Here is a 25676-nt window from a genome sequence, read left to right as displayed (position 1 = left end):
TCAATTACCCAGCCTCAGGTATTTCCTTATAGCAATGCAAAAACAGACTAATATGAAAAATTGGTACTGAGGAGTAGGGTGTTACTATAAAGACACCTGAAGATGTGGAAGTGGTTTTGCAGCTGAGTAAAAGGCAGAGATCAGAAGAGTTTGAAGGGCTCAGAAGAAGATGGGAAGATGAGGTAAAGTTGGAACTTCTTATAGACTGTTTAAATGGTTGTGACCAAAATGCTGACAGAAATATGGACAGTGAAGTCCAGGCTGAGCAGGTCTCACATGGAAATTAGGATGTTATTGGAAACTGGAGCAAAAGATACTTGTGTCATGCCTTAGCAAAAATTTGGCTGCATTGTGTCAATGTTCTAGGGATCTATGAAAGCTTGAACTTAAAATTGATTACCTAGGGTATCTAGCGGAAGAAATTTTTTTTTAATTTTATTATTATTATACTTTAAGTTTTAGGGTACATTTGCACAACGTGCAGGTTTGTTACATATGTATACATGTGCCATGTTGGTGTGCTGCACCCATTAACTCGTCATTTAGCATTAGGTGTATCTCCTAATGCTATCCCTCCCCCCTCCCCCCACCCCACAACAGTCCCCGGTGTGTGATGTTCCCCTAGCGGAAGAAATTTCTAAGCAACAAAGCATTCAAGAGGAAGTCTGGCTGATTCTAAACACCTACGGCAAGATACAGGAACAAAGGAATTACTTAAATTTGGAATTTATCATTAACGAGAATACACACAGAAGTTTGGAAAATAAGAGTTTGGAAAATTTGCAGCCTAGCCATGTGGTAGAGAAGAAAAAAAAAACATTTTCAGGAGAGGAATTCAAGCAAGCTATAGAGCAATCACTTGCTGGAGAGATTTGTGTAACTAAATGGAGCCAAGTGCAAATACCCAAGACCGTCGAAAAAGGCCTCAAAGGTATTTCAGAAACCTCCTAAAAAGCTCCTCCTGTTGAAATGAGAGTGTTCTCTTCTCCCCCTCGCAGGGGTGTGGCTGGCTTTTTCAGTGCTCCCCTGCTCAAACCCATAGAGGGGAGCATGCAGACAGGCAGGTCATGGGGAGTGTTTGGGGGCTCTGACCCCACTGCAGTATCTAGGGTTGTTTACAGCTCCCAAAACCCCAGTGGGCTTGTGTTACAGTGTGCTCTTTTCAGCTTAGCTGTCTGCAGGCAGCTTGTGTTAATCAGCTCAACTAGACCCTCTACCTTATCACAAGGGCAGAGGGCTTTCTGTATCCCAGGTTCTTGCCCTAGTGTATCAGAAAAATCGGATCACATGTGGGCTTGGAGGATGGGTGCAAGGTTTTATAGAGTGGTGGAGGTAGCTCTCAGTGAAATGGATGGGGAGCCAGAAGGGGGATGGAATGGGAAGGTGGTCTTCCCCTGGAGTCCGGCCACCCAGCAGCTGGACTCTCCTCTGACCACCCTCGGCTGAATTCCACATCTTCCCACCATTGATGGCTTGCTGGTGTCTGTCCATGTGTTCTGCTCCTCTTGATGTCCAGCCACTTGTGTGTGTGCCCGCTACAGTCTTGGGATTTTCTGGGCACAGGATGGGGGTGTGGTGGGCCATAGTGGTCTTGGAAAATACAACATTTGTGAATGAAAACAGGAGTGCCTGTTCTCACTTTGGTCCATGGACGCAGGCCCAAGGGTGGAGCCCTCACCAGGAACCCTGACCTTCTCTACCCAGCACTTCCTTGTCCTGCTCCCATAACACCATCACAGGCCTACAGGCCTAGGGGGAAAGAATAATTTGGGGGCCAGGCCCAGGTCACTCCTGCCTGCTCAGCATCAGGACACTGCTCCCTGCATCTCAGCTGCACCAGCTCCAGCTGTGGCTCAGAGGGTCCCAGGTGAAGCTCAGGATGCCACTTTGGAGAATGCAACCCATAAGCCTTGGCAGTTTCTACATGGTGTTAAGCCTGTAGGCACACAGAACACAAAAGCAAAGGAGTCTTGGCAGCTTTCTCCTAGATTTCAGAGGATGTATTGGAATGCCTGGGTGCCCAGGCAGAGGCCTGATGCAGGGGCAGAGCCCCCACAGAGCACCTCCACTAGGACAATAATGAGGGGAAATGTGGGGTTAGAGTTCCCACACAGAGTTCCCACCAGGGCACTCTCTGGCAGAGTTATGGGAAGGGAGCCGCCACCCTCCAGACCTGAGAATGGTAGAGCCACTGGAAGCTTGAACACTAACCCTGGAAAAGCCACAGGCACCCAACTCCGACCCGTGAAAGCCACCATGGGGACTTCACCATGCAAAGCCACAGAGGCAGAGCTACCCAAGGTCTAGGGAGCCCACTCCTCACACCAGTGTGTCCAGGATGCAAGGCATGGAGCCAAGGATTATTTTGGAGCTTTAGGGTTTAACGTCTACCCTGCTGGGTTTTGGACTCCTGTGGGGCCTATTGTCCTTTTATTGTGGCCTATGTCTCCATTTTGGAATGGGAATATCTACCCAATGCCTGTACCACCATTGTGTCTTGGGAGTAAACAACTTGTTTGATTTTACAGACTCATAGGTGGAAGAAACACGGCCTTGAGTCTTAGATGAGACTTTGGACTTTAGAGTTTGAGTTACTGCTAGAACAAGGTAAGACTTTGGAGGACTACTAAGAAGGGAATATTGTATTTTGCAATGTGAGAAGGACATGAGATCTCAGGGACCAGGTGTGGAATGATATGGTTTAGATGTTTGTTCTCTCCAGATCTCATGTTGAAATGTGATTCCCAATGTTGGAGGTGGGGCCTGGTGGGAGGTATTTTGGTCATGAATGGCTTGGTGCTCTGCTAATGGTAATGAGTGAGTTCTTGCTCTGAGTTCATGTAAGACGCGGTTGTTTCAAAGAATGTGGCACCTCCCCCTTCCCTCCCTCTTTCTTGCTCCCTCTCTCTTCCTCCCGTTTCCTCCATGTGGTGTTCCCATCGTACCTTCATCTTCCACCATAACTGAAAGCTTCCTGAGGCCCTCACCAGAAGCCAAGCAGATGCTGGCATTTGCTTTATGTACAGCCTGCAGAACTGGGAGCCAATTAAAAATCTTTTCTTCATAAATTACCCAGCCTCAGGTATTTCATTATAGCAGCAGAAGAATGGACCAATACAATATACAAACATAATTTTATGTTATTTCTTATTACAACTTTCAGGCCCGTTCTAGTACAAATTGCATATGTGTTATCATTACTCCTATAGTGGCAGAGAGAAAGCTTCCTTTCTGCCCACTAAAGATTCACTAAAAATGAACTGATGAAAGGCAGATTAATAGGAGAAAAAGGCACACCAAAGTTATTTAATGTGCATAAGCAGAGGGGAATGACAGGAGAATAATTACCCAGTAATCCAGATAACACCTCCCAGGTAATCTCTCAGAGTTGCCCTCTCAGGAATCAACAGTCTGTCTGGGTGTGGTGAGACTCCACTTTTGTCCCATCTTTGATGGTTAATCTGTCCTGGTTATTTGATGAGGTTCCTAGGGATGGAATCTTAAGACAATCTCATTTGTTTTGGAAAGAAGCTTCCTTAGTCTGACAAATTCCAGAGAGACTCCCTCCTGATGCTGCAGGAAAGAATTGGAGAGACAGAGAAGGGAGTCCGTAAAGGGGAAGGTCAGAGAAGGAGCTTGGCTCTGAGGCTCATTTCTGAGGCCTTTCTGTTTTCTTCAATTCAATGCATGCAGAGCACCAAAGCACCATATTTTGAGTATCATTTTCAGTGCCCCAGCACCGCAATATGCATCCTTTTTAATGGCAGCTCAGTGTGGCTCTTCTACAGTAAATGTAACCTGGAGCATCCCAGAAATAAATGCCTGCTCAGAAACCACTCGGTGTGATGCCACTTTTCTAATTCAACCTCTCCAACAAAATAATGTAAAATAATGTAATTTACATCCTCATGTCTTCTCAATCTGAATTAACTATTTATGAGTTCCTGAAGGTAATATATTTATTAAATGTATGCAAGATTGTTGAGACCCTGATATGTGCCAAGTGCTTTGCTGGGTGCTGAGAATGCAAAAGAATATATATATGTATATATATACACACACACACATACACACATATATATATACATACATATATATATGAGACTTATAGGTTAGGCATAATAAACATATATGTATCATAAAAAGAAAGTGTTTAGACATATGTTTTGCTGTAACATTAGTTATAAAGGAAAAAGTAAAAAAAACATTACTCAGATAAACAGAAGACACTTCATAGAAGAAGGGATGATATTCATAGCTTAGCCTTGAGGGATAGCTGTGCACAGGAAGGGACGCCATTTCAAGCAGAGGGAACTGCTTCACTAAAACCCATACCCACGGATAGTCACCCATCCAAGCATGTTGATGGGATGAATGGGGATGCATGTAATTCAGTATTATACAACCACAAGCTGGGATGAGAGAAGTAAGAAAATGGAGATGGAAAACTCTGCAGAAGCCACTTTACAAGTAGTTTTAATCTGTTTTAGGTGAGAATATTTTGTCTTTTAAAAAATTTTCAGTAGCTTTAGGGGTACCATGGTTTTGGTTACATGGATGAATTGTTAGTGGTGAAGTCTGAAATTTTAGTGTGCCCCCATCACCCAAGTAGTGTATATTGTACCCAATGTGTAGTTTTTATCCCTCACCCTCCTCCCACCTGCCCCACATTTTAGTCTCTAGTGTTCACTGTTCACTATACCACTCTGTAATGCATTTGTGTACCCATAGCTTAGCTCCTACTTGTAAATCAGAACATACAGTCTTTGGTTTTCCATCCCTGAATTACTTCACTTAGAATAATGGCCTCTAGTTCCATCCACATTGCTGCAAAAGATGTTGTTTTGTTCTTTGTCACGGCTGAGTAGTATTCCATGTTGTGCATATACCACATTCCCTTTACCAACTCATCAGTTGATGGGCAGTTAGGTTGGTTCCATGGTTTTGCAATTGTAAACTGTGCTACAATAAACAGATGTGTTTAGGTGTCTTTTTGATATAATGACTTATTCTCCTTTGGGTAGATACCTAGTAGTGGGATTGCTAAATATTTTTCTAATGTTTAATGTTTCATTCTGGAAAATGAAATGCAACAATACGGAGGACAGTTAGGAAGAAGACAAATTTGAATAGAATAGAATAGACTTATTGTGGTTTGAACAAGAAGCTCTAAAGGACTAAATTCTCAGGTAGCAGGAAGTGGAGAGGAGATATTGGGCATAATAAATGTGCAAGTCTAATGAAGAATACAATTATTAACTAAAACCAAACTATAAATTGAGAATTGTATGCATTCTATGACATAAATAACAACAACTAGGTATACGTGCAACGTATAACAAATAATTTACTGTGTGTTTCTGATATTAACTTCTGATTTCTTCTCCTTAGGGGAAGTATATGTCAAAGATAATAATTGTTGTAGTCACATCTTGGTTTCCTTGTTTGTATTATTCAGGCCCGGTTCATCTCCTTCTGAATGGCTGGCTCAAGTCTATGATGGGAGGTGACACTATTGCATGTGTCAAAGAGTCTCAGTCTTTACTGAGCAGCTGATCAGTTCATTGTAAGTATGCTTATAAAAAGATCATCTTCCTCGGTTGTGTTTGGCAAAATATCTTCTGGAAATCACGTTTTAATGCAAGAACTCTAATTAAGAGGACATTGGATCAAACCTATATCTGGTGGAAAGAGAAGACTGATAAAGAAAACAATCAGAGTTCAGATAAAGCCACTTATACATCAAATTGGAGAATCTGGAACAGAGTTTTACAGCTTGGAGTTTGATGTGCTGTGAGCAATTATCTGATCCAAAATTCTCATTTTACAGAGAAGGAAACTAAATCCTTCTCTGGATTTAGTTCCTTAAAGAGATTCATTTAGTTCATTAAAGAGATTTTAATGAACTTATGGACATTCAACTAATCACGAGTAGGTCTAGAAATAGAATTGAAGCTTTCTGACCTGAAGTGTGGTGCTATTACCTTTTATAGAACTAGCAACTTCAAGAATAGCTCAGGTAAAATTTTTGGAAAGTAATACTAAGAAAGGTTTGGATTAGAATCAGAAAGAACTCCCAAGGCTCATATTATGTACCAAAAAAATAAATATGGTTTATGTCCTACATTGTATGAAGTTGGACTCCTCATTTACAAACCTCTAATCCCCTACTGGTATATGGTTTTTATATGGCTTTTATTTGCCTGTGATAAAGTAGCTTTCATTTTGTTTTATGTAACTGACCTGATAGGAAGCTCATAGGTGTTACTATATAATTTCTTACAGCTGTGTCCATAGCCTTAATTAACAGAGGTTAGTATTTCACCATATTCATTAAAAAGTATTATTGAGCTGACCTATTACAGCATATAGAGCCTTGTAATAGAAGCATTTTTGGAGTGAGGGGAGAGTAACTTATATTAAAAACAAATATTCATTAAGTCCTTAAGCCAGTAACAAATTGTATTGGGAGTAAGATATGATTAAGTAATGGGACAAAAACATTGTTCTATTTTAATCTAAAATCATAAAAACCAAGGATTCACTTTTTGTATGTGTGTGTGTGTGTGTGTGTGTGTGTGTGTAGTGAAAGAAAAGTTATATGTTGATTCTCTGTATTACAGTAATATTCTAAGTTTAAACAATATGCTATAGTTGAAAATATAAATATATGCTTTATTATTTATAGAGTTTTACACTTACAAATTCTAAAACATTTAAGTTGCTTGAAATGTACATCTTGCCTTCCCAGTGTCAATGACTTTATATTAAGAAGAGAGAAAAAAATTCAACTACAACACAAGACTCTGACTTCAAAAGGCCCAGGGCTGATTGTTGGGGTTCAGGTATGTTTTCAGTTATGTTTACATACGCTGGCTTCCTGAGTCTCTGAATTCTTGCATTACTTTGCACAATTTGTATTCCTTAAAATTCAGTAAAAACTCTGTGAAAGCTTAGTTTATATATTTGTCCCCAAACTCATACTGCTACACATTTATGTTTTTCAAATGAGCAATTGCAATGTAAATGAATGTGGTCTTTTAAAGCATAACGCACAGATTGTAGCTTTCATCTGTGCTGAAGCAACTTTTAGCACTGCTTCCTTATGATGAGAATTATTTTTTTTGTTGTTGTAACAAATGATACATTTGTTAAACGTATCATTCAGATTAGGCTAGGTTTGGCTCTGTTTAATAATTCAATCAGTCAGGTGATGGTTCAGTCAAGAGAGTTGTTTAGGATGCTGAAAGAAACTACAAACTTTATCAGCTCCCTGTTTCTTGAGCAAATTGGCAGGAAGACCTATTCATTGTAGTCACTCGGGATACCAGGCAAGTTAAGAAGTTGCTTAGCAGACTGCAGAAAAAAAATAAAAATATTTTATTGACAATTAAATGTTAAAGTTCAATGCCTTCCCAGCAGCTCATTGGCCAGAATTAATCATGCTTCCCTCCTGTCCCTGCAAAGCTGGTCAGAAAGTGGAATCCGAGAATGTACCTAAAAGGCTGAGAGTCACAGATGTGTGGCCAAAACACTGAAGAATACCTCAGGTAATTATTAAATTCATATTGTTATTGGACTTATTTCATCGAGTCATCACAAAAGAGAAGTATGAATGAATACGTAAGTAAAAGAATGCAAAAACAGCACTAAAAGTAATTAGTGATATATGTTGATTACATTATACACACTAGGCTGTTCTAAGTGGTTCTTGATACATATATTAACTCATCTAATTCCTGCAGCAGCTCTGTTAATTTGGTACCCGTTCTTATACTGCTTTGTAGATGAGGAATCTATGCCTGGAGACAGCGAGCAAGGTGCAGAGCTGGGAGGCACATCCACCTTTCTCTCTTTAGAGTCCTTTCTCAATGACATCTATACTGCCTCAAACCACAAACATTTTTTGAGCACTTATATGTTTTTATGTAATTAAGAGCACAAGCTCTGGAATCAAAGTGCAATGAATGAAATCTGAAGGTGTTTTATTTGTCTGTTTTCCTGAATGTCCTGTTCTCAAACCTCGGGCAAGTTATAAAGTTCTCTGATCTTCACTATCCTTGCTTGGTATATGTGGGTACCAAGGATAGCATCTATCACTGATGGTTGTGGTGAAAATTAAATACCGAAATATATGTAAAGTGCTGACCACCATGGCACCTAGCAAGCACTCCATAAGTGCTGTCAAGATTACTCAAGAAAATAAGAGCTCTTATAGTATCTCATTTAATGCTGACAAGGAAGCCCCTTTGAGAATAGTCTTACTAATTCAGGCTTAAGACAACTAAAAGCCAAGGCTCTTACAGATGGTATAATTTGCCTGATATTTGGAGATTCCGAGTGGCATTGCCTAGGACCAATCCAGGTCCCTCCAGTTCCTAACACATTTTCCTGTCTGTCTCTTAATATCTTAGAAAACAGCTAGCTACCATGGACTAAGGGTCAGAACTTTAAAGACAGCTTAAAATTTAGGAGCATGTAAATGATCCCATTTTCAGAGGAAAAGGTAATGTCTGCTCAGTTTCTCCACTATAAGTTTTTCTCTCTCTCTTTTTTTTTTAAAGTTAATACACATTTGGGGGACGATATTTTGGAAAAAATGTGTGATTTGCGAGTGGAGGCCACTCCTTAAAGGTGGCTTACGTATGGTGACTTCCTTTCAACCAGTATAGTGTAAAGAAAGGAAAAAAGGAGTTATCTGAGAGTGGAGAAACCTGATCAAAACTATCTCAGACAGATGATCAAGGTCAACATCAACAGTGATGACGTATTGATAGTGTGCACCCTTGATTTGATGGGAATCACACTTTACCTCTGTGGTCTTCCTCCCAAAAGCACATAAACTCAATCTAATCATGAGAAAAAAAAATTGACAAATCCCAACTGAAGGACATTCTACAAAACACCCAACCTGTACTCCTCGAAATTGTCAGGGTCACCAAAACAGAAGGAAAATCTGAGAAGCTCTTACATCTGAAGTACACCTAAAATGTGATAAATAAAAATAATCTGGTATACCTGGAACATAAAAAGTTATACCTTTTTGTGATAGACAGCAAGTAAGGAAGTCATGTAATATCCATAAAAATGAATGTTAGTCAATAAAAAAGTATCTATGTTGGTTTAATATTTATATCAAAGCAACAAAAATGTTATTAAGGGACCTGGACCAGGGAGTGTATAGCAACCCTCTGTACAAACTTTATAAGTTTTCTATAAATTTAAAACTGTTCTAGAATAAAAAGTTTATTTTAAAAACAAAAAGTGAAATGAAACAAAAATTGGGCAGGACAGCTTGTAGTTCTTGATTAGATCTACAATGCAAGCTTCCAAGCCACACAGGCCAAGCCCCTCCTTGGTATAAACCTGAGATAGAACCTAAGTGCTATAATACAGTGCCCTTTGAATTGATCTATCTACTTTGGCCTTTGGCCTCCTATTGTACACTGAAGCATCGCAGACTAAATTGTTTCCAAAATATCAGCTTTCCCAGCGGCCAGATGAGGAGCTAATACTCTGCCTCAGTATCAGGACTCTGTTACCAAGAAAATCAGTAAATGGTGCAGTCTTGGCTCACTACAACTTCCATCTCCCACGTTCAAGCGATTATCCTGCTTCAGCCTCCCAAGTAGCTGGGATTACAGGCACCCGCCACCACAGAAGGCTAATTTTTGTATTTTTAGTAGAGATAGGGTTTCACCATATTAGCCAGGCTGGTCTCGAACCCCTGACCGCAAAGTGCTGGGATTACAGGTGTGAGCCACTGTGCCTGGCCCCAGAGAGGCACTTTCTACTTGCACCCTGAATCTAGAACTTGCAAACCTATCTGTGGAAAGAGCAGAGTCAGCAGAAAAAAAAAAAACTTGAATTTTCTACACAAGGTCCTACCTCTAATCCCCATGGGCCAGGAGGAGGGCCTGCCTGGGAGGGTGCATGAGACTTGCAGAGTGGAAGGAGGGAGTGGAATAAACTCAGGAATGGGGATCACCATCTCTGCCTGGACACAGGAAGAAGATGAAGTATGGACCTGGTGCTCCTATCAAGGTGCTGGCAAATGAGATATGCTGGATGCCAGGCTGTCTGTGGCTGGCTAAGCTGCTCCCCATCTTTTGAGGCACAGCCAGTACACAGGTGGTGAGCGGGGCCCAGCATGCCCTGACCTTCTCCTGTTAGGAGGTGATCAGCAGCCCTCCGTCCTCACTGTGCCACGTGGAAGCCTGGGGAAAGGAGACACATTTTGCCAACACATTTGATACATGCAGATACTGAGTCCTAGAGATATGAAGATATTTGCCCCGAATTACAAAACAAGCTAGAAAATAAGAATTGTTTGGTTACCTTTCATTTTCTGTGATGTACTATCCTCATAAAACAAAATTCATTTTATATTTACCATAATGCAAATTACCATAGTTGACTTAAATTTATAATTTTTATTTTAAATGAAAATATAAGTGTTTATGACACATCTTTTCTAAGAGTAATGGAAAAAGTCAAGGTAGAGGAAAGCATGAAAAAAAAAAAAAAGTAAGATTATTCAGGCTACCTGGAATGAACTTGATTGAGATTTGACTGGATTTGTAATATAAGTAGTGCTATTTGAGACAATGAAGAAGGACAGGGTCTTGGGGAAAAATAGTCAAAGAAACCTAAATTACATATCTCCTTTTTAATATAGCAGCAGTAGCAATTTATTCCTCACGTGCGTACTTTAACTTGTTATTACCTGAATAAATAATTAAGAAACCAAGGGCAGGTCTTTTTGCAGAAAGCACGGCTTGTGCAGAGGGAAAAAAAAGCATGTTGACCACAATGGAAATAAATATAATATATGGGGGAGAAAGAAGCTCAGAAAAAGCAAACACCAAAAGAAGACATTTTGGGGAGAGACACATATCCCTTTAATAGAAACCAGAGAAAGTGAAATTGCAGGAAATAGAGAGGATATGAAGTAGAAATGTCTCCAAATAGAAAGAAAAATGAATGGAAAATAAAGTTCAGGTGAAGAGAATATCAGATTATAAGAACTGGCCATCTGGACAAAAAGTTTCCTGGGAAAAGATAATAGAGAAGTACAAGCTGGGGGTGTCTAGGAAATCCTGTCACAGAGCCAAAAAAGTGAAGGAGGGAAAGGGTAGAGACCTCCATTTTCCCTAGGAGCTCCCAACATGAGCTCATGATCTCAAAGTCTTTACTACTTGCTGTCTTGTCACAATTATCCAAGTCTTTGGCTTGCTTTCCTCCATCCCTTCAATATTTTATTACCTGGGTCATTGTCTCATTCTTTTTTATTGTTCTTACTATAAATTTGGATGACTTTGAATTCCACGTAGACAATCTTTCCAACATTTGCCCCCATAGTTCTTTAATGGCTTCTCTGTTTCATTGGTCCTTCAACCTTGCTTTAGTCCAGGAAACCATCATTCCTGCCAGGTGTTATTGAAATAGCATCCTACTTCTTTTCCCTGATTTCCCCCTTAGTTCCCAATAGTCAATTCTCAACAATGCACCCAGAGTTATTATTTCAAAATAAGAAGACTGTGTCACTCCTCGCTCATAACCTTCTAGTAGCTTCCCAGCTTATTCAGCATAAAAGTCATCACAATGACCTTTCATAGCTTTATGATTGCATCTCCTTCCACTCTTGAAATTGAGCACAATTTCCCACCCATTGTCTCTTTATACTGTTCTACAAACACACAGCCTGCACTCAATCAAAGGTGGCTCCTTTCTCACCTCTTTGCATGAACAAAGGTTCATTGTCTTATCAACTCAATAACAGGTGTCATTGAAATAGCATATTTCTTCTTTTCTTTGACTTACACACACACACCAACTCTTAGAACCCACCCCCCCTTCTTTATTTATTTTGTCCTAGCACTTATACAATCTAACGTATTATGTTTTTACTTACGTGTTTTATTTGTCTCCCACTAGGAAAATTTAAATTATATGAAGGTAGATATATGCTTATTTTCTAACTGTATATTATCTAAAACATGTCTGGCATATAGTCAGAACTTATTAAATGTATTTTTATGCCAGGCGCGGTGGCTCACACCTGTAATCCTAGTTCTTTGGGAAGCTGAGGCCAGCAGATCACGAGGTCAGGAGTTCGAGACCAGCCTGGCCAACATGGTGAAGCCCCATCTCTACTAAAAATACAAAAAATTAACTGGGCATGGTGGCAGGTATCTGTAATCCCGGCTACTTGGGAGGCTGAGGCAGAATTGCTTGAACCCAGGAGGCAGAGGTTGCAGTGAGCAGAGACTGCACTGCTACACTCCGGCCTGGGCAACAGAACAAGACTCCATCTCAAAAAAATAAAAAGTATCTTTTAGTCCATCATTATCACTTTTGAATTAACAATTTGTCAGTAAGTTATGATTAGCTTTTCTTTTTTTAAAAAAAACTATTATTAATTGTAAAAAGCAAAACAAGACAAAACAAAGTCATATTTCTTTCTGCCAAACTAAATCTGTATATTAGCTCTAACACTTACAGATTTTGGAAGATTTCTTGTATTCTCTGATTGCTCATCTGGAAAATGGGTCTATGTATATCTTATACATTGGAGTATTATGTTTGAAATAATGTTTGAAAATTGTTTATCCAACCACCATCTATACCTAGTGATTTGGAAGCCTTTTATGACTTATCACCTAATAGATAGAGACTGCCCAGTAAAGAGGAATCACGTTTGATGTGCAAATATATGAATGGTGGCATTACATTACATTACATAAACACTTAAATTGATTCAATGCTCTTAGATAAAGAGAGCAGGCTACAATGGGAATAAGATGGAAGGCAAGAGAAAGAACAAGGGAGAAAGAAAGGAAAATAACAATTTAAACAGTCTGGCTAATATAATGAAACATTTCCCTTGATGCACGGATGTCCCCAGGTTACCCATCATGACAGCAGGCATGACTCTGTGAGTCCTCTGTCACACTCAGTTACTGCCTTACTCTCACAGGTGACTAGATAACAGGGCCAAATGGGATTCTACTTTTAAAGATGGATATTTCTTGGTAATGTGGGCCATAAATGCAAGCCAGTATGAAATAAGGTGCTTATATACATAATACACCAAAAAAGATCTGCCCATTCCTGAAGAAAAAAAAAAAAAAAAACGTTAACAAAGCAAAACAACAACCATAAAAACACTGCTTTGAGAGGTTGCATGTAGAGTTCCAACATTGCTACTTCTGAGGAATTATGAAGTTTCATAATGAATATGTTTCTTGTATAAATCATGCATAACACATCAACAGTGTGTGTTTATGTGACTACTATAGGAAAAGTATCGCAATGGACCCCATATGAAAAGGGTCCTCAAGTGTTGAATCACATAGGAGAAATTAAAACATGATACTGATATTGATTCACCAAGAGCTTTCTATTTATTGTTTCCATATTTTAGTATCTCTGTGAGTTAAATTTATAGTTTGGGAGCCCATGCATGAAATCACGTAGAAGCAATATGAACCTAATACCTAGGGAGCAGTTTTATCTTGCTCTTAGTGAAAATAAAGAAGGAGAACCACTTCTCTTTTGTGAACGTCCTGAGAGCTCTTTGAACACAGTAAATCATTTAGACATGAAGTAGGGAAGCAGAGCTGCTTCCTCTTGCTTCATCAAACAGTGAGGTAAGGGGTCTGTCCAGGAAGAAGATGGGGATGCCTTGGGCTCCTCTGCCCACACAGTACCCTCTGTCCCATGCTTCAGGTGCTCCAGTGCTTCTGCAACAAGTGGAGCCAGCAGAGGCATAAGCAGAAAGACGCCTCACCTTTGCACAGTGTCTGAGCAGGATTGGTCATGGGCCAGGCCATTGTAATTTGAAGAAAGAGTGGGCACCGCAAGGGAAGATGTGGCAATGTAGACACCAATTCTAAGAAGGTGCCTTTCCTAATTTAAAACAGAGGGTTATAATAATGTTGTGAGGACTTCAATATATGTGATTTCTTGTGCCCACTTATCCCTTGATCTACAGCATTTATTTGAAATCAAATATAATCAATGCAAGACTGAAATGCCACAAAAAAGGCCAAACTGCTAAGTGCTCTTAGATACTACAAAGAAATTGTTTAGAAAACCATGCAGTGACAAAGTATAGATGCAGTACACACACACACACACACACACACACACACACACACACATGCAGGAGGTCAAAGGTAAAGAGGTGTGAGAAATCGGATACACTGACTTGCTTGCAAAGTTACAATCTTCTGTTTGAAGTAATGAAAAACACCCCATTTTAATAATTTTTTCCTGGATAATGTTCATTACTGTGTGATGTGACATAATATTTTTCTGGATTGGGATTAGCCATAGAATTCTGCAGCTCTCCTTTAGGGAACTGGGGATATGCTAAGATCATATCCAGACTAAAATACAGCGTTCCTCACAGAGAAGGTCCCACACAGCCTTATGATGATTACAGGAATAGCTTAATGACACGGTCATCACTCAGCCTCTCATAAAACTAATTAATCTTCCAGCAATGTTAGAATCAAAGAGAAATATTTTTAAATATTAAAACATATTTTATTAAACCACAGTCATATTATCTTTCATATTTGATATACAAAATAGATATGGACTTATAGTTTTCATTTATCCTTTGATTTAATAAAGTATTCATATTAGAAATCTTCATTGTAATAAGAAAGGTCACTTTTGCTAATTGGATTAAGTCAGTATAATAGCTGAAAAAAAAAACAACTTTTCTGTGCCAATAAGATTAATGAAATTGCCCTTGAAAAGGTGCATTTTACATCTGATTTCATATTTCAGTGAAGTCTCCCTCTGAAATTGGCCTCAGGGTCCAGACCACAGGACAATGCTATAATTATGCCTTTCTGGTGCTTTCAATAATACCATTTTTTGAATTGACTTTGAGGTGAATCTGCTTTATACTAAATTCAGCCCCAGAAGAACTTTGTTCTATTGAAACTTGAACACACTTTTATTTCATCTGTGTTGGAAGTCTTTTTCCCTTTTTTTTTTTTCCTTAAGTGTAAGTGTTAAAGAATAAGAGACAATGAAGGGTGGAAATGATACGATTAAGAGCTTTGGGGAGAAACTCTAAAGTCATGACCATATTTTTCTGCTAATCAAAAGACTGCCCAGTATGGAGAATTCAAGTTTCATTACTGCTTAATATCTTCACAAATCCCAAATCAATATTACTTATGTTTTAGAAGATGCCATCACAATGAATTAAATTTGTTTCTTTATTATTTACTTCTAATACTTTCACAGAACATACTATTTATAAACCTAAGAAAGAGCAAGTTTAGAGACAGCTTGATTGCAAATTATTGCTCATTGGAGTGGGTAGATACGGTCTCAGCTGCTTGTCATCTATTTGTAATATGAACAAGAAGTGTAAAACAGTTTTGATAAAAAATATCTATGGCATGAAATTTCTGCTGCTGAAAAGTCTTCAGTCATGCACAAATTCTAGACTATTTTCACACGGAAACCAGCAAAGCACACACAACGGAACAACTGTAATGAGATGATCAGCAAACCAAATATTCCTTTTCCTTTTCTTTTGTTACCTGTAAACTAAATATTGGATGTGTTTTAGAAGATTAAGATAAATTTACATCTTGATGTGAATGTGCTTTATTACACAATGATGTATTTTCAAATTAGAACTATTTTTTGTAACCAGAATCATTTATTCTAACACACTATCATGTCTTCAACTAATAACAGCTTCTTTAGGCTTTGGGAGTAGATGCACATAGCTATTGATAAGTTTCCTCTTGTTAACATAAAAGTTTCAGAGCTCTTTTAGTATTTATATGAAAACTCATTTATCTCAGCCCCAGCAGTAGCTTTCAAAATAAACTACTGCATTTTGCATCAGGGAAATTCCCAAAGATTATATAGGCCATGTGAGATAACAACTAGAAACAAACCAATGTGTTGCCTACATTTCCAAGACCTTTCACTAGTAGACTTAGCATGGATAAAGAACGTATTCTTCAGTTAACAGTACAAGATGATCTATTCTCACTATGCCATATTTGTATAGTTTAGTGCTCATTTTGCCAATATAAGATTTTCTTCAAGAAGGTTAATAATATTAGATACAAGCAATCATATGACACCATTGCCTTAATTTTTAAACCAATAAAATAAATTTAATTCATTAATGCTTATTAATTATGTAATTAAGTTTAGTAATGAATAAATAAATCACAAGATCTGGAGTTTAAAAGTAGTTATAATAGGCTGGGTGCAGTGGCTCATGCCTATAATCTCAGCACTTTGGGAGGCCAAGGTGTGTGGATCACCTGAGGTCAGGAGTTCAAGACCAGCCTGGCCAACATGGTGAAACCCCACCTCTATTAAAAATATATTTAAAAAAAAATTTGCCGAGTGAGGTGGTAGGTTCCTGTAATCCCAGTTACTTGGGAGGCTGAGGCAGCAGAATTGCTTGATTCCGGGAGGCGGAGGTTGCAGTGAGTCAAGATAGTGCCACTGGACTCCAGCCTGGATGACAGAGCAAGACTCAGTCTCAAAATAATAATAATAATAATAATAATGATAATAATAATAATAAAGTAGTTACAATACAACACATTTATTTATAAAAGTGTTAAATTGTACAATCCTCAATTCAGATTGCTTCCACCACCATGGACACCACTGTCTCTATTATCCGAATTCTCCTTGTTGTCATTGTCATCCTCATCATCAGTGATCAATCACAAACTGCATTCGGGTAAATCTAATCTGTTCATAATTTTAAATTTTAAGTTATTTTATTTTGCTTCCTTTTCTTGAAAAAAAAATGAAGTGTTATTGTTAGCATTTGGATATAATGATGCACCATTTTGTAAAACATTTCCCAGAAACACTTTCCTTAGTTAAAATCCAATCTTTCTATTGGTTCCCCACTCATTGGTATTCTTCCTTTCTCTATTCAAAAGAAGCATTGAATTTAAAGTGGTGATTGTATTTTGGAACTGGTTTGACATGAAAATCTGTCAAAATACCATAGTGATGATTCATATTATGTTGCCATTATAAATATCTCTATTGTATTAGCGTGCTTTAATATCCTCATCACTTCACTCTTTAGCCCTCTTTATAATTCATAGTTTAAATGCTTAGCATTTCAAATTAAATTTTCTTTTCTGTTTTCACTATCTATTTTATGTGGAAAACAGTTATATTTTCATTACTTTTTAAAGTATATTCTAGCTTTAAACACGATGTCCATACTTCAAACCCAGCTTCTAAAATGTATACCTATTAGTTATTCAATCTGTTCGAATATAGCTAAATAACACAGTTGTTTTTCACCCATAACACTCAGGAAGCTGGAAACTATGGGTGCCCAAATAGATCACTAGATTTCCAAGGCTTAGTTCATATGTGGTCTCTATTCCCAGAACTCTATGTTCTTAACCTGCGGTGAAAATATGTTTGCTCTACCTTAATCTCCATTTTGCAACTCACACCATGTGGCAGCTTCTGATGATATCGGGATGGTAAAGTCCAAGGGGAATATCACATTCAGGCAGATCTCACCACTCACTTCCCTTTGTCATTTTAAAGTACGGTGTCAAACCCTTCCTGTTGTATAACACTCAAATTTGTGTCAGAAATAGTAAAAGTAAACCTTCCATTACACTAAAGTTCTTTTAGTTCTAAGTGTCAGAAAGAGAATTTTAGGGAGAATGATTATCACCTTATTTCTACCACTGCATGCAAGGTGTGCACCTATCGCTTTATGCTCTTAGCCATTAGCGGGTTCCAGTCGCTGAAATTCAGTTATAGTTCTGCACATTCACCTCATGGTGCTGTCTGCTAATCTGAAGATCCCCAATGGGAAAACCAGTCTTGCTAAGAGATGTGGTTTATGAGAAATGAGGCCTAATGATCATCTACACACAAATTGATTTGAGGAGTGGTTGCTTTTTCATTTTTTAGAAAAACGTTAACACCTCTGTTTTCATCACTGAGTGACTTAACTTTACATAGTTCAAGTTGCTCCTACCCACAGAGTCTCCACTAGACCCACTTGGCCACAGTTATTTTTGGCTTCGCCATACGCCCTCTGATCTGCAAGCCTTCCAAATCCTGTTGGAAGCCTTTGCCTCTCTCTTTTGTTTTTTAACAGTGTCTGCCAAACTTTATTCTTACTTCCAGATATCTCACACCTGGATGTCTGTAGAAACTTCCCATTAACTACATCTTCAAATACAATCAAATGTCTGGGAATTTCTTCAGAAAAATATGGGGGTGGGAGGTGGGTAGGGATTGGCCATGATTTGATAGTTATTGAAGTTGGCTGAACACTACATAGGTTTTTTCCGACTTTTGTCACTTCTTTTAAATATCTGCATTTTTAATTAAAAAGTTAAAAAGGGATTATCAGAGCTTAATATAACTTTTAGTTATAGCATACATATGCATATTCATAAAAAGTCAACGACTACTCTTGTCCATTTTATGGATTTTATTTTTTTATCATCAGCTAAAAATATTTAGAAGTGGGAAAATAAAGTAAAATAAGTAACTGTGTGGAGCTAGGTTGGTATGTTTAAAAGCCCAGCTTAGTGACTTACTGGCTATTGGGTTATGTACAAGTTACTTTAGTTATTCTTGTCTCATTTTCTTCATATGAAAACTTGGGGAGAGTAACAGTATATATCTTACAGAGGATTAGAAGGCTTAACACATATAACAAATGTAGTCATGTTCTGTTACACTGCAAACACTCATTGCAGGTTGATCACCACCACGGTTAATTCCTCTGCATAAATTTTGTGGCAACTGATAAATCACTCCCATTTAAAGTCAATGCCTGTAGACTTTTCCATGTGTTTTATTAATGGAGATACAAATAAGTCACAACAAATTCTAATGTATTAATGGGGTATTTTTAATTTTTCTTTATTCTGTGTTATTTAGAAATGGAATACTGATAATCTGTAGAAAAAGTAAATCTATGTGAATTACTATAAAATCTGAATATCATTTTACAGTATTTTCGTAGCATTCTCAGACTGAATTCTCTAAGGGCTAGTTTGGTTCAACTGGACTTTTTACTATAAAGCTGAGTTCTACCCTTCAGTTGTAACCAAGAAATTTCTTCTTTATGATCCCAAATGCCTGGCTCAGCCACAGCCACTCCTTCCACTCTTTGCTCTTCCTCTCATGTTCTGCTCCCCATTTCAGCCTTTTCAGGTTAAAGAGCAACTGCTGAGGCCCACGATGGTCGGGGCTCTTGGAGTCCTTTATGAGCTTGACAAGATCCTAACTGAGGGAGCTTTTTTTTTTTTTTTGAGACGGAGTCTTGCTCTGTCACCCAGGCTGGAGGGCAGTGGCGCGATCTCGGCTCACTGCAACCTCTGCCTCCTGGGTTCACGCCATTCTCCTGCCTCAGCCTCCAGAGTAGCTGGGACTACAGGCGCCCGCCACCACGCCCGGCTAATTTTTTGTATTTTTAGTAGAGACGGGGTTTCACCATGTTAGCCAGGATGGTCTCCATCCCCTGACCTCGTGATCCCCCCGCCTCAGCCTCCCAAAGTGCTGGGATTACAGGCGTGAGCCACCGCGGCGGGCCCAAAAACAATTTTTAACCTTGGAGGGTCCCAGTGGTGCTGTGCTTTGCATGGAAATGAGAAGAATGATCGTCTCCAGAATTCTGTGAATCCCTGTGTTATCTATTCCTTTAAATAACACTGTTTGTCTCAGAGTTCCATAAATAATCTCAAGTAAACATTTTCATCAGACATTGAGGGTGATCATCTCTCCATCAGGGCTCAATATCAATCTGAACTGGATTTAATTGATAAACCAGACCACTCAGCTCCTATTTGCAGTTTTATTTTCTCTCATCTTGAGAATTCATCACAAACATTATCTTCCAGGCAGTAGTCAAAATTTCAAATTCATATTACATCATGCACATGGCTGCCTTATGAAGCCATTGTCCATCAATTCTGATTTTATCTACCTGTCTATTCAGTGTGTAGGAAAATTTCCAGTAAACTCCTAAGGGTAACTACTGAAATTGGTATACAGAGAGCATATTCCTGGTGCAATTACATGTTTTAAGCTTCCATTTTTCCATTGTAGCATTTTTTTAGCACTTTTAACTCAGTAACGATTATGGAATTTCCTCTCCACATGCCTCTCTCTCATTCTTGGAAATGAAAGGATTTCTCTAAGACTAGGTGTTCCCAAACACAAGAAAGTTCTAAAAGCTCTACTCACCCTTTCCTTTTAATAATACTAATAATACCTATTATATCTCTTTAGTAGTTAGAACTAACACAAATGTTTCCAATTTAATAGTAGTGATTTATCAATGTTTGTGTTTCTAAAGAATAATCCACTGACTGACAGTATTGAGAAGGTTGAGTAGAAGAATGTTATTGGTAGAAAAACAGGGGTAGGAGAGATAATTATCCCACCTTTGTGTCCTTTTTAAAATACAAATAATATTTTATTATTATAGTCGCCTGCCTCCTTTCAAAATGCAGGTGGAAGTGAGAATGGAAAAATAATTGCTAGAGAAAACAGACAAGACCTTCTGATGCATCTGTAATACATTATGCCCAAAGGAAGGACACACAATTGCATATTCCCCAAATATTTTAGCAGCTGCACTAAAATGTTTCACAGCTAGGAGAATAAACTTGGGCAACCATTAAATGAGTCTGCCTGACTTTAAAATAATTCAAAGTCCAGGATTGCTTCATGATGGAGAAATGAGGAATTCATGCCAATGGTGTCTCTTTCAACCATTTTCCATCAAGATGATGTAAAACAGATCTGCACTCCCTGTTTCCCTATGTAGTTCTGCCAAAATGAGGCAGCTGTGCCATAGATATCAAGTCAGGTTTTCAGAGATTGGTCCTGCACACTGGCAATAGAAATGGTGGGAAAGCTATGGTGTTTGGATTCTGAGCAACCAGCTGTGTGATCTCAAGCAGGTCAGTAAACTTATCTCAGCCCCAGTCATTGTAATCAGTGCATAAGAGAATGTAAATAAAAAACCTGGAATAACACAACAGGAAATCGTGTTATATGTGGCATCAGACCAACTTAGATTGGTACCCATTCTCCTCATCACTGGCTTTATCACCTAACCTTCTTAATGTTGACAAATGACCAAAGCTTTCTAAGCAATAATATTCTTATCTTTAAAGTGATAATAGTATCTACTTAGTTGGGTTGCAAAGATGAAATGAGGGACAAGTGAAAGCGTCGAGAAAAGTAACAGGCATGTACTATCATTTCTGTATGCCTTTCTCACCTTAGAGGGACAGATGTTAATTTGACAGGGTAGTAGTCCCCTATTCTTTTTATAAGGAATTGCCACAAACTTAGTGTTTTAAAAAACACATACAAATTTATCTTACATTTCTGGAGGTCAGAAATGTGTATCACTGGGCTAAATCAAAACAAAACAAAAAGGTGTCAGCACCTTCTGGAGCCTTTGGGGGCTTGAATCAATTTCTGCCACTTCCAGCTTCAAAGGTTCCTCCGTATGGTTCCCTTCATGGTCTCCTTGCTCCATCTTCAAAGCCAGCAACATCTGGCCAAGACTTATTCATGCTGTGCTCTCTTTGACTCCCCTTCTGCCTTCCTTTTCCACCTATAAGGGCACTTGTCATTAGGTTGGCTGCCCTGGGATAATCAGGGATAACCTTCTCATCTCAAGGTCAACTAATTAGCAACCTTAATTTTATCTGCAATCTTAATTCTCCTTTGTCGTAACTTGGCATTTTTATGTGTTTAGGGGAAAGTATTGGACACTATGATGAGTCCATTATTCTGTGGACCACATACTAGAAAAAAAAACATGAAAAGTTTAAATAGAAGATGACTTTTGAGTTTCCTTGTGTAGGATCATTTTACAAGGTCGAAGAGGAAGGAATGTGTAAGCCAACTACAAGAAAATGTGTGTTGAAGGCATGGTGACATGAGAAGCATCACAATATGCTCAGGGAGTGGCCGAGGTGTGATTTAATTAGACAGATTGCACAATCACTGCATCCACTGGAAAGGATGCTGTTGACAGATGGAGAATGGACCTTATAGGACAGTCTCAAAGTTTTCATGCAGGGAAACGAGATAATTAAATGTGAGTTAACGGAGAGAAAAGTGGATTCTTAGCAACAATGTCAGGAATGAAAGCAGCTGAAGCAGCTGGAGGTGATTGGAACAGGTTTACACATTTGGACTTGATTACAATAGACCAAGAAGAACAGAATAATAGTATAAGAATAGGAAATGCATATGGATTGAAGAGAGGGAATGGACAAGATATCTGAATTTTATTGGAAGCAAGACGTGGAGTAGAGGGAGAAACCTAGGACACAATTGATTTTTTTTTTTTAGTTACAACATCCCACAAAATGTATGAGATCAACAGGAATAGAGAAGGAGGAACACCTTCAGAAAGTAGGAATAAAGAAAGTTTTAAAACGCAACATGTGGAACTTGAAAATGTCTGAATCCAGGGTGATATATTATTAATACTATAATATGTAGGTATAATTTTGGAAATTTATTCTTAATCATTTTATTCAGGGTATCCTGCCTCATTCTTTTACCCAAATTAAATCCATCCTTTATGATGCCACCAGAAGGATTTGACACCCAAATCTGATCAGTGCTTCCTCCACTTAAATCATTTTAATGGTTTTTCAGGATTCATATGATTAACTCCAAGCTTTTTAACCTGACATAAAAGCTACTTCTTTTTTTCAGCATCATACTGTACCCCAGCCCCCACCACAATAAACCAAAAAAAGTTGATTCCTGTCAATTAAGAAATGGATGCGTTTAGAAGCATGGATTTGTATACTTAAAATCCACATCTCTAGACTTCTTCGTGATACTGGATTCTATTGATAAAATAAAAAATTTAAACTAAAAGATTGTACCATTGTGTTTCTTCAGCAAACACTTTGATGTGACTCTGATTTCAAGTCTTCTCACCCCTCTAAAGGATCCAGAATGAATGAGTTATTTAACATAAATTGCCAGATGTACTTTCATAATGTGAAGGTGTGAGATGGGGGTACCACCTGATTCTGCTTAGTCCACAATGAGATGTAATATGCTTATGCTGAAAGCTGAGCTTTCAACTGGGTATCCTTGATATACAGCAACCTTGAAAAACCACAAAACTATCTTCTCAAAGTCTTTAAGCATGCATTATTCAGGCTACTTTGCTTTGGTTTTAAAGAAAAGATATGACGTTTGATGAACCTGAAAAAAAAGAATCCCTAGAAACGATTTTTCTCCTTTTTTATATTTTAATTTTTTGATAAAACATTGCTTATGGCCTAAAGACCTTGTAATGCATTTCCCTCTTACAGTAAGAAGAGAGGAAAAGAGAGAGAGAAATTGAAGAACTTCACCCTGATAAGATCTCACCACCAGGCAGGGCAGAAGTACAACAATATCTGATATGTAATCTTATCTTTCTTGACAGTTATATGCAGTTAAGAGTTGGCAGTACATAGAGATATTGAGCCAGTTTGATTAAATATTTTTAAAATATTAGAAAAAGGATATTTAAACCCTTTTCTTCTCTAATGTTACTTTAGTAATATACTTTAGTTTTAGACTTAGCAAATGTATTTGGAAGACTAAAATAGTACAGGCTAAAAGCACTGACACAAAGTGGTTTGTTAATCATCGAACTCATGTTAATGCAAGTGGTTAGGGAATAGCTAATTAGCTAATTTCTATGCATTTCAAAATGCATAGGTGCACTATTCATTGATAAATTAATTCTTCAGAATAGATTTCCTGGCTTATATCTTGATTTGTATTTAACATATTCTTTAATTGATCATTTAATATTTAATAACCATATACAGTAATGCAAAATTATAATAAAATTATAATTTGCGGTTATCAGGAGAATATGTTTGCATCTTGTGTTTGAATTGCTTTAAAATACTGTACCTATAATAAACTTGTAAAACATAATTATATAAAATATACTATATGAAATACACCTAAGGGCATATGGAAATAAAATATTTTCTTTATTATTCTACCAAAGCTTAAAACCTGGGCTACTAAAATAATACTAATTTTGAGACTCCAGTATCTAATAGATTTTAAAAGTATTAATAACATGCTTGTTATTTTCTTTTCATCACATTAATTTATCTTCAGCCTTCATCCACTTGAAAAGTGGTGAAATCTTCGAAAAGTAGGCGGTATATATGCACAATATTTATTAATTAAAGAGGATGCAGATATCTTGTACAGAAAACAACTATATTGTGAAGTGCCCACATTTGATCAAAGATTTAGTTACTAAGAGACAGCAGCAGATAGTGAAGGAACTTTCATAATTCAAATGTAGAGAACAAATATGTTATTATTGTATTAGTTTATAGGGCTGCCATGACAGGGTGCAACAAATTGGTGGCTTAAACAACAGAAATTTATTGTCTCATAGTTCTGGAGACCAGAAGTTCAAGGTCCGGGCTTCTGCAGGGCTGGTTCCTTCCTTGGACCTGAAGGAAAATCTCTTCCATGTCTCTCTCCTGACTTCTGGGGGTCACTGGGCATCTTTGGTGTTTGTGGCTTGAAGACGCATCACTTAAATCTCTGCCTTGATCTCCTCATGGCATTCTTTCTGCCTGTCTAAATTTCTCCTTTTATAAGGACGTGGGTTCTATTGGATTAGGGCCACTCTAGTGACCTCATATTATCTGATTATGAGCAAAAAACCTAGTTCCAAATAAGATCCCATCAGAGGTACTGGGGGTTACGATACTAACATCTTTTGTGGAACCACAATTTAACCCATAATAATGATCTTAAATTTTTTAGATAATTACATGAAAACATGCTTTGTGTGTGTGTGTGAAAATGTTGCTATTCCTGGGGCATAAAATAATGGCTTTATTATGCAGTTCTTGTTTTCTTTGGAAAACGTTCTCCATTCCTTTGAGTAAAACTGAAGTTGTTCTTGTTTTATAAACTCCACCCCGACACTCCACATCAAGCTCCAGTTAGAGTTTGGATATTAAAGTAATTAACTTTACCTCTAGGACATCATAATTTCTTGAGGGATTTTTTTTAACTAAAGCTTAATAAATCTGTCATAAACAAAACAAAAGTAAAATATTACAGTGCTCAGAAAATAAAATGTCATCAAAATTACAATTTGCCAATTACATTAGAAAATATACATTACAAAATGTCAAAAATAAGAATGGGAAGTTGTCATAAGATGTTCTTATAAATAAATTGGAGGTGATATTATATGTTAGACAACAGCACCAGGAAAACTCAATAAGCTGCCTCAAAACAAATGTCTCTGCTTATTTAGAAATTCCTGGGGTAGGCCGGGTGTGGTGATGCATGGCTGTAATCCCAGTACTTTGGGAGGCCAACATGGGCGGATCATGAGGTCAAGAGATCAAGACCATCCTGACCAACATGATGAAACCCCATCTCTATCAAAAATATAAAAATAAGCTGCACGTGGTGGCATGCTCCTGTAGTCCCAGCTACTTGGGAGGCTGAGGCAGACAAATTGTTTGAACCTGGGAGGCGAAGGATTGCAGTGAGCTGAGGTTGCACCATTGCACTCCAGCCTGGTGACAGAGCAAGACTCCCATCTCAAAAAAAAAAAAAAGAAAAAAAAAAAAGAA

At 38.0% G+C, this 25676-nt stretch overlaps 1 long non-coding RNA gene across 2 annotated transcripts; it reads left to right on the top strand.

The window, feature by feature from the left end:
• The first annotated feature begins 598 nt into the window (after positions 1-598).
• Positions 599-25415, top strand: LOC107984624 (uncharacterized). 2 transcript variants are annotated; one of them, XR_001749992.2, is made up of 5 exons: positions 599-2607; positions 5459-5566; positions 6752-6845; positions 7468-7550; positions 16647-25415. It is a non-coding gene; the product is annotated as an uncharacterized LOC107984624 (long non-coding RNA). The 2 variants fall into 2 exon arrangements; XR_001749990.2 differs by having other exon boundaries at positions 7468-25415.
• Positions 25416-25676: the final 261 nt, after the last annotated feature.

The sequence above is a fragment of the Homo sapiens genome, chromosome 13, assembly GCF_000001405.40.
Source record: "Homo sapiens chromosome 13, GRCh38.p14 Primary Assembly".
Classification (NCBI taxonomy): Eukaryota; Metazoa; Chordata; class Mammalia; order Primates; family Hominidae; genus Homo; species Homo sapiens.
Note: the sequence above shows the minus strand (reverse complement) of the source record. Positions and strands in the feature narration are given on the sequence as shown.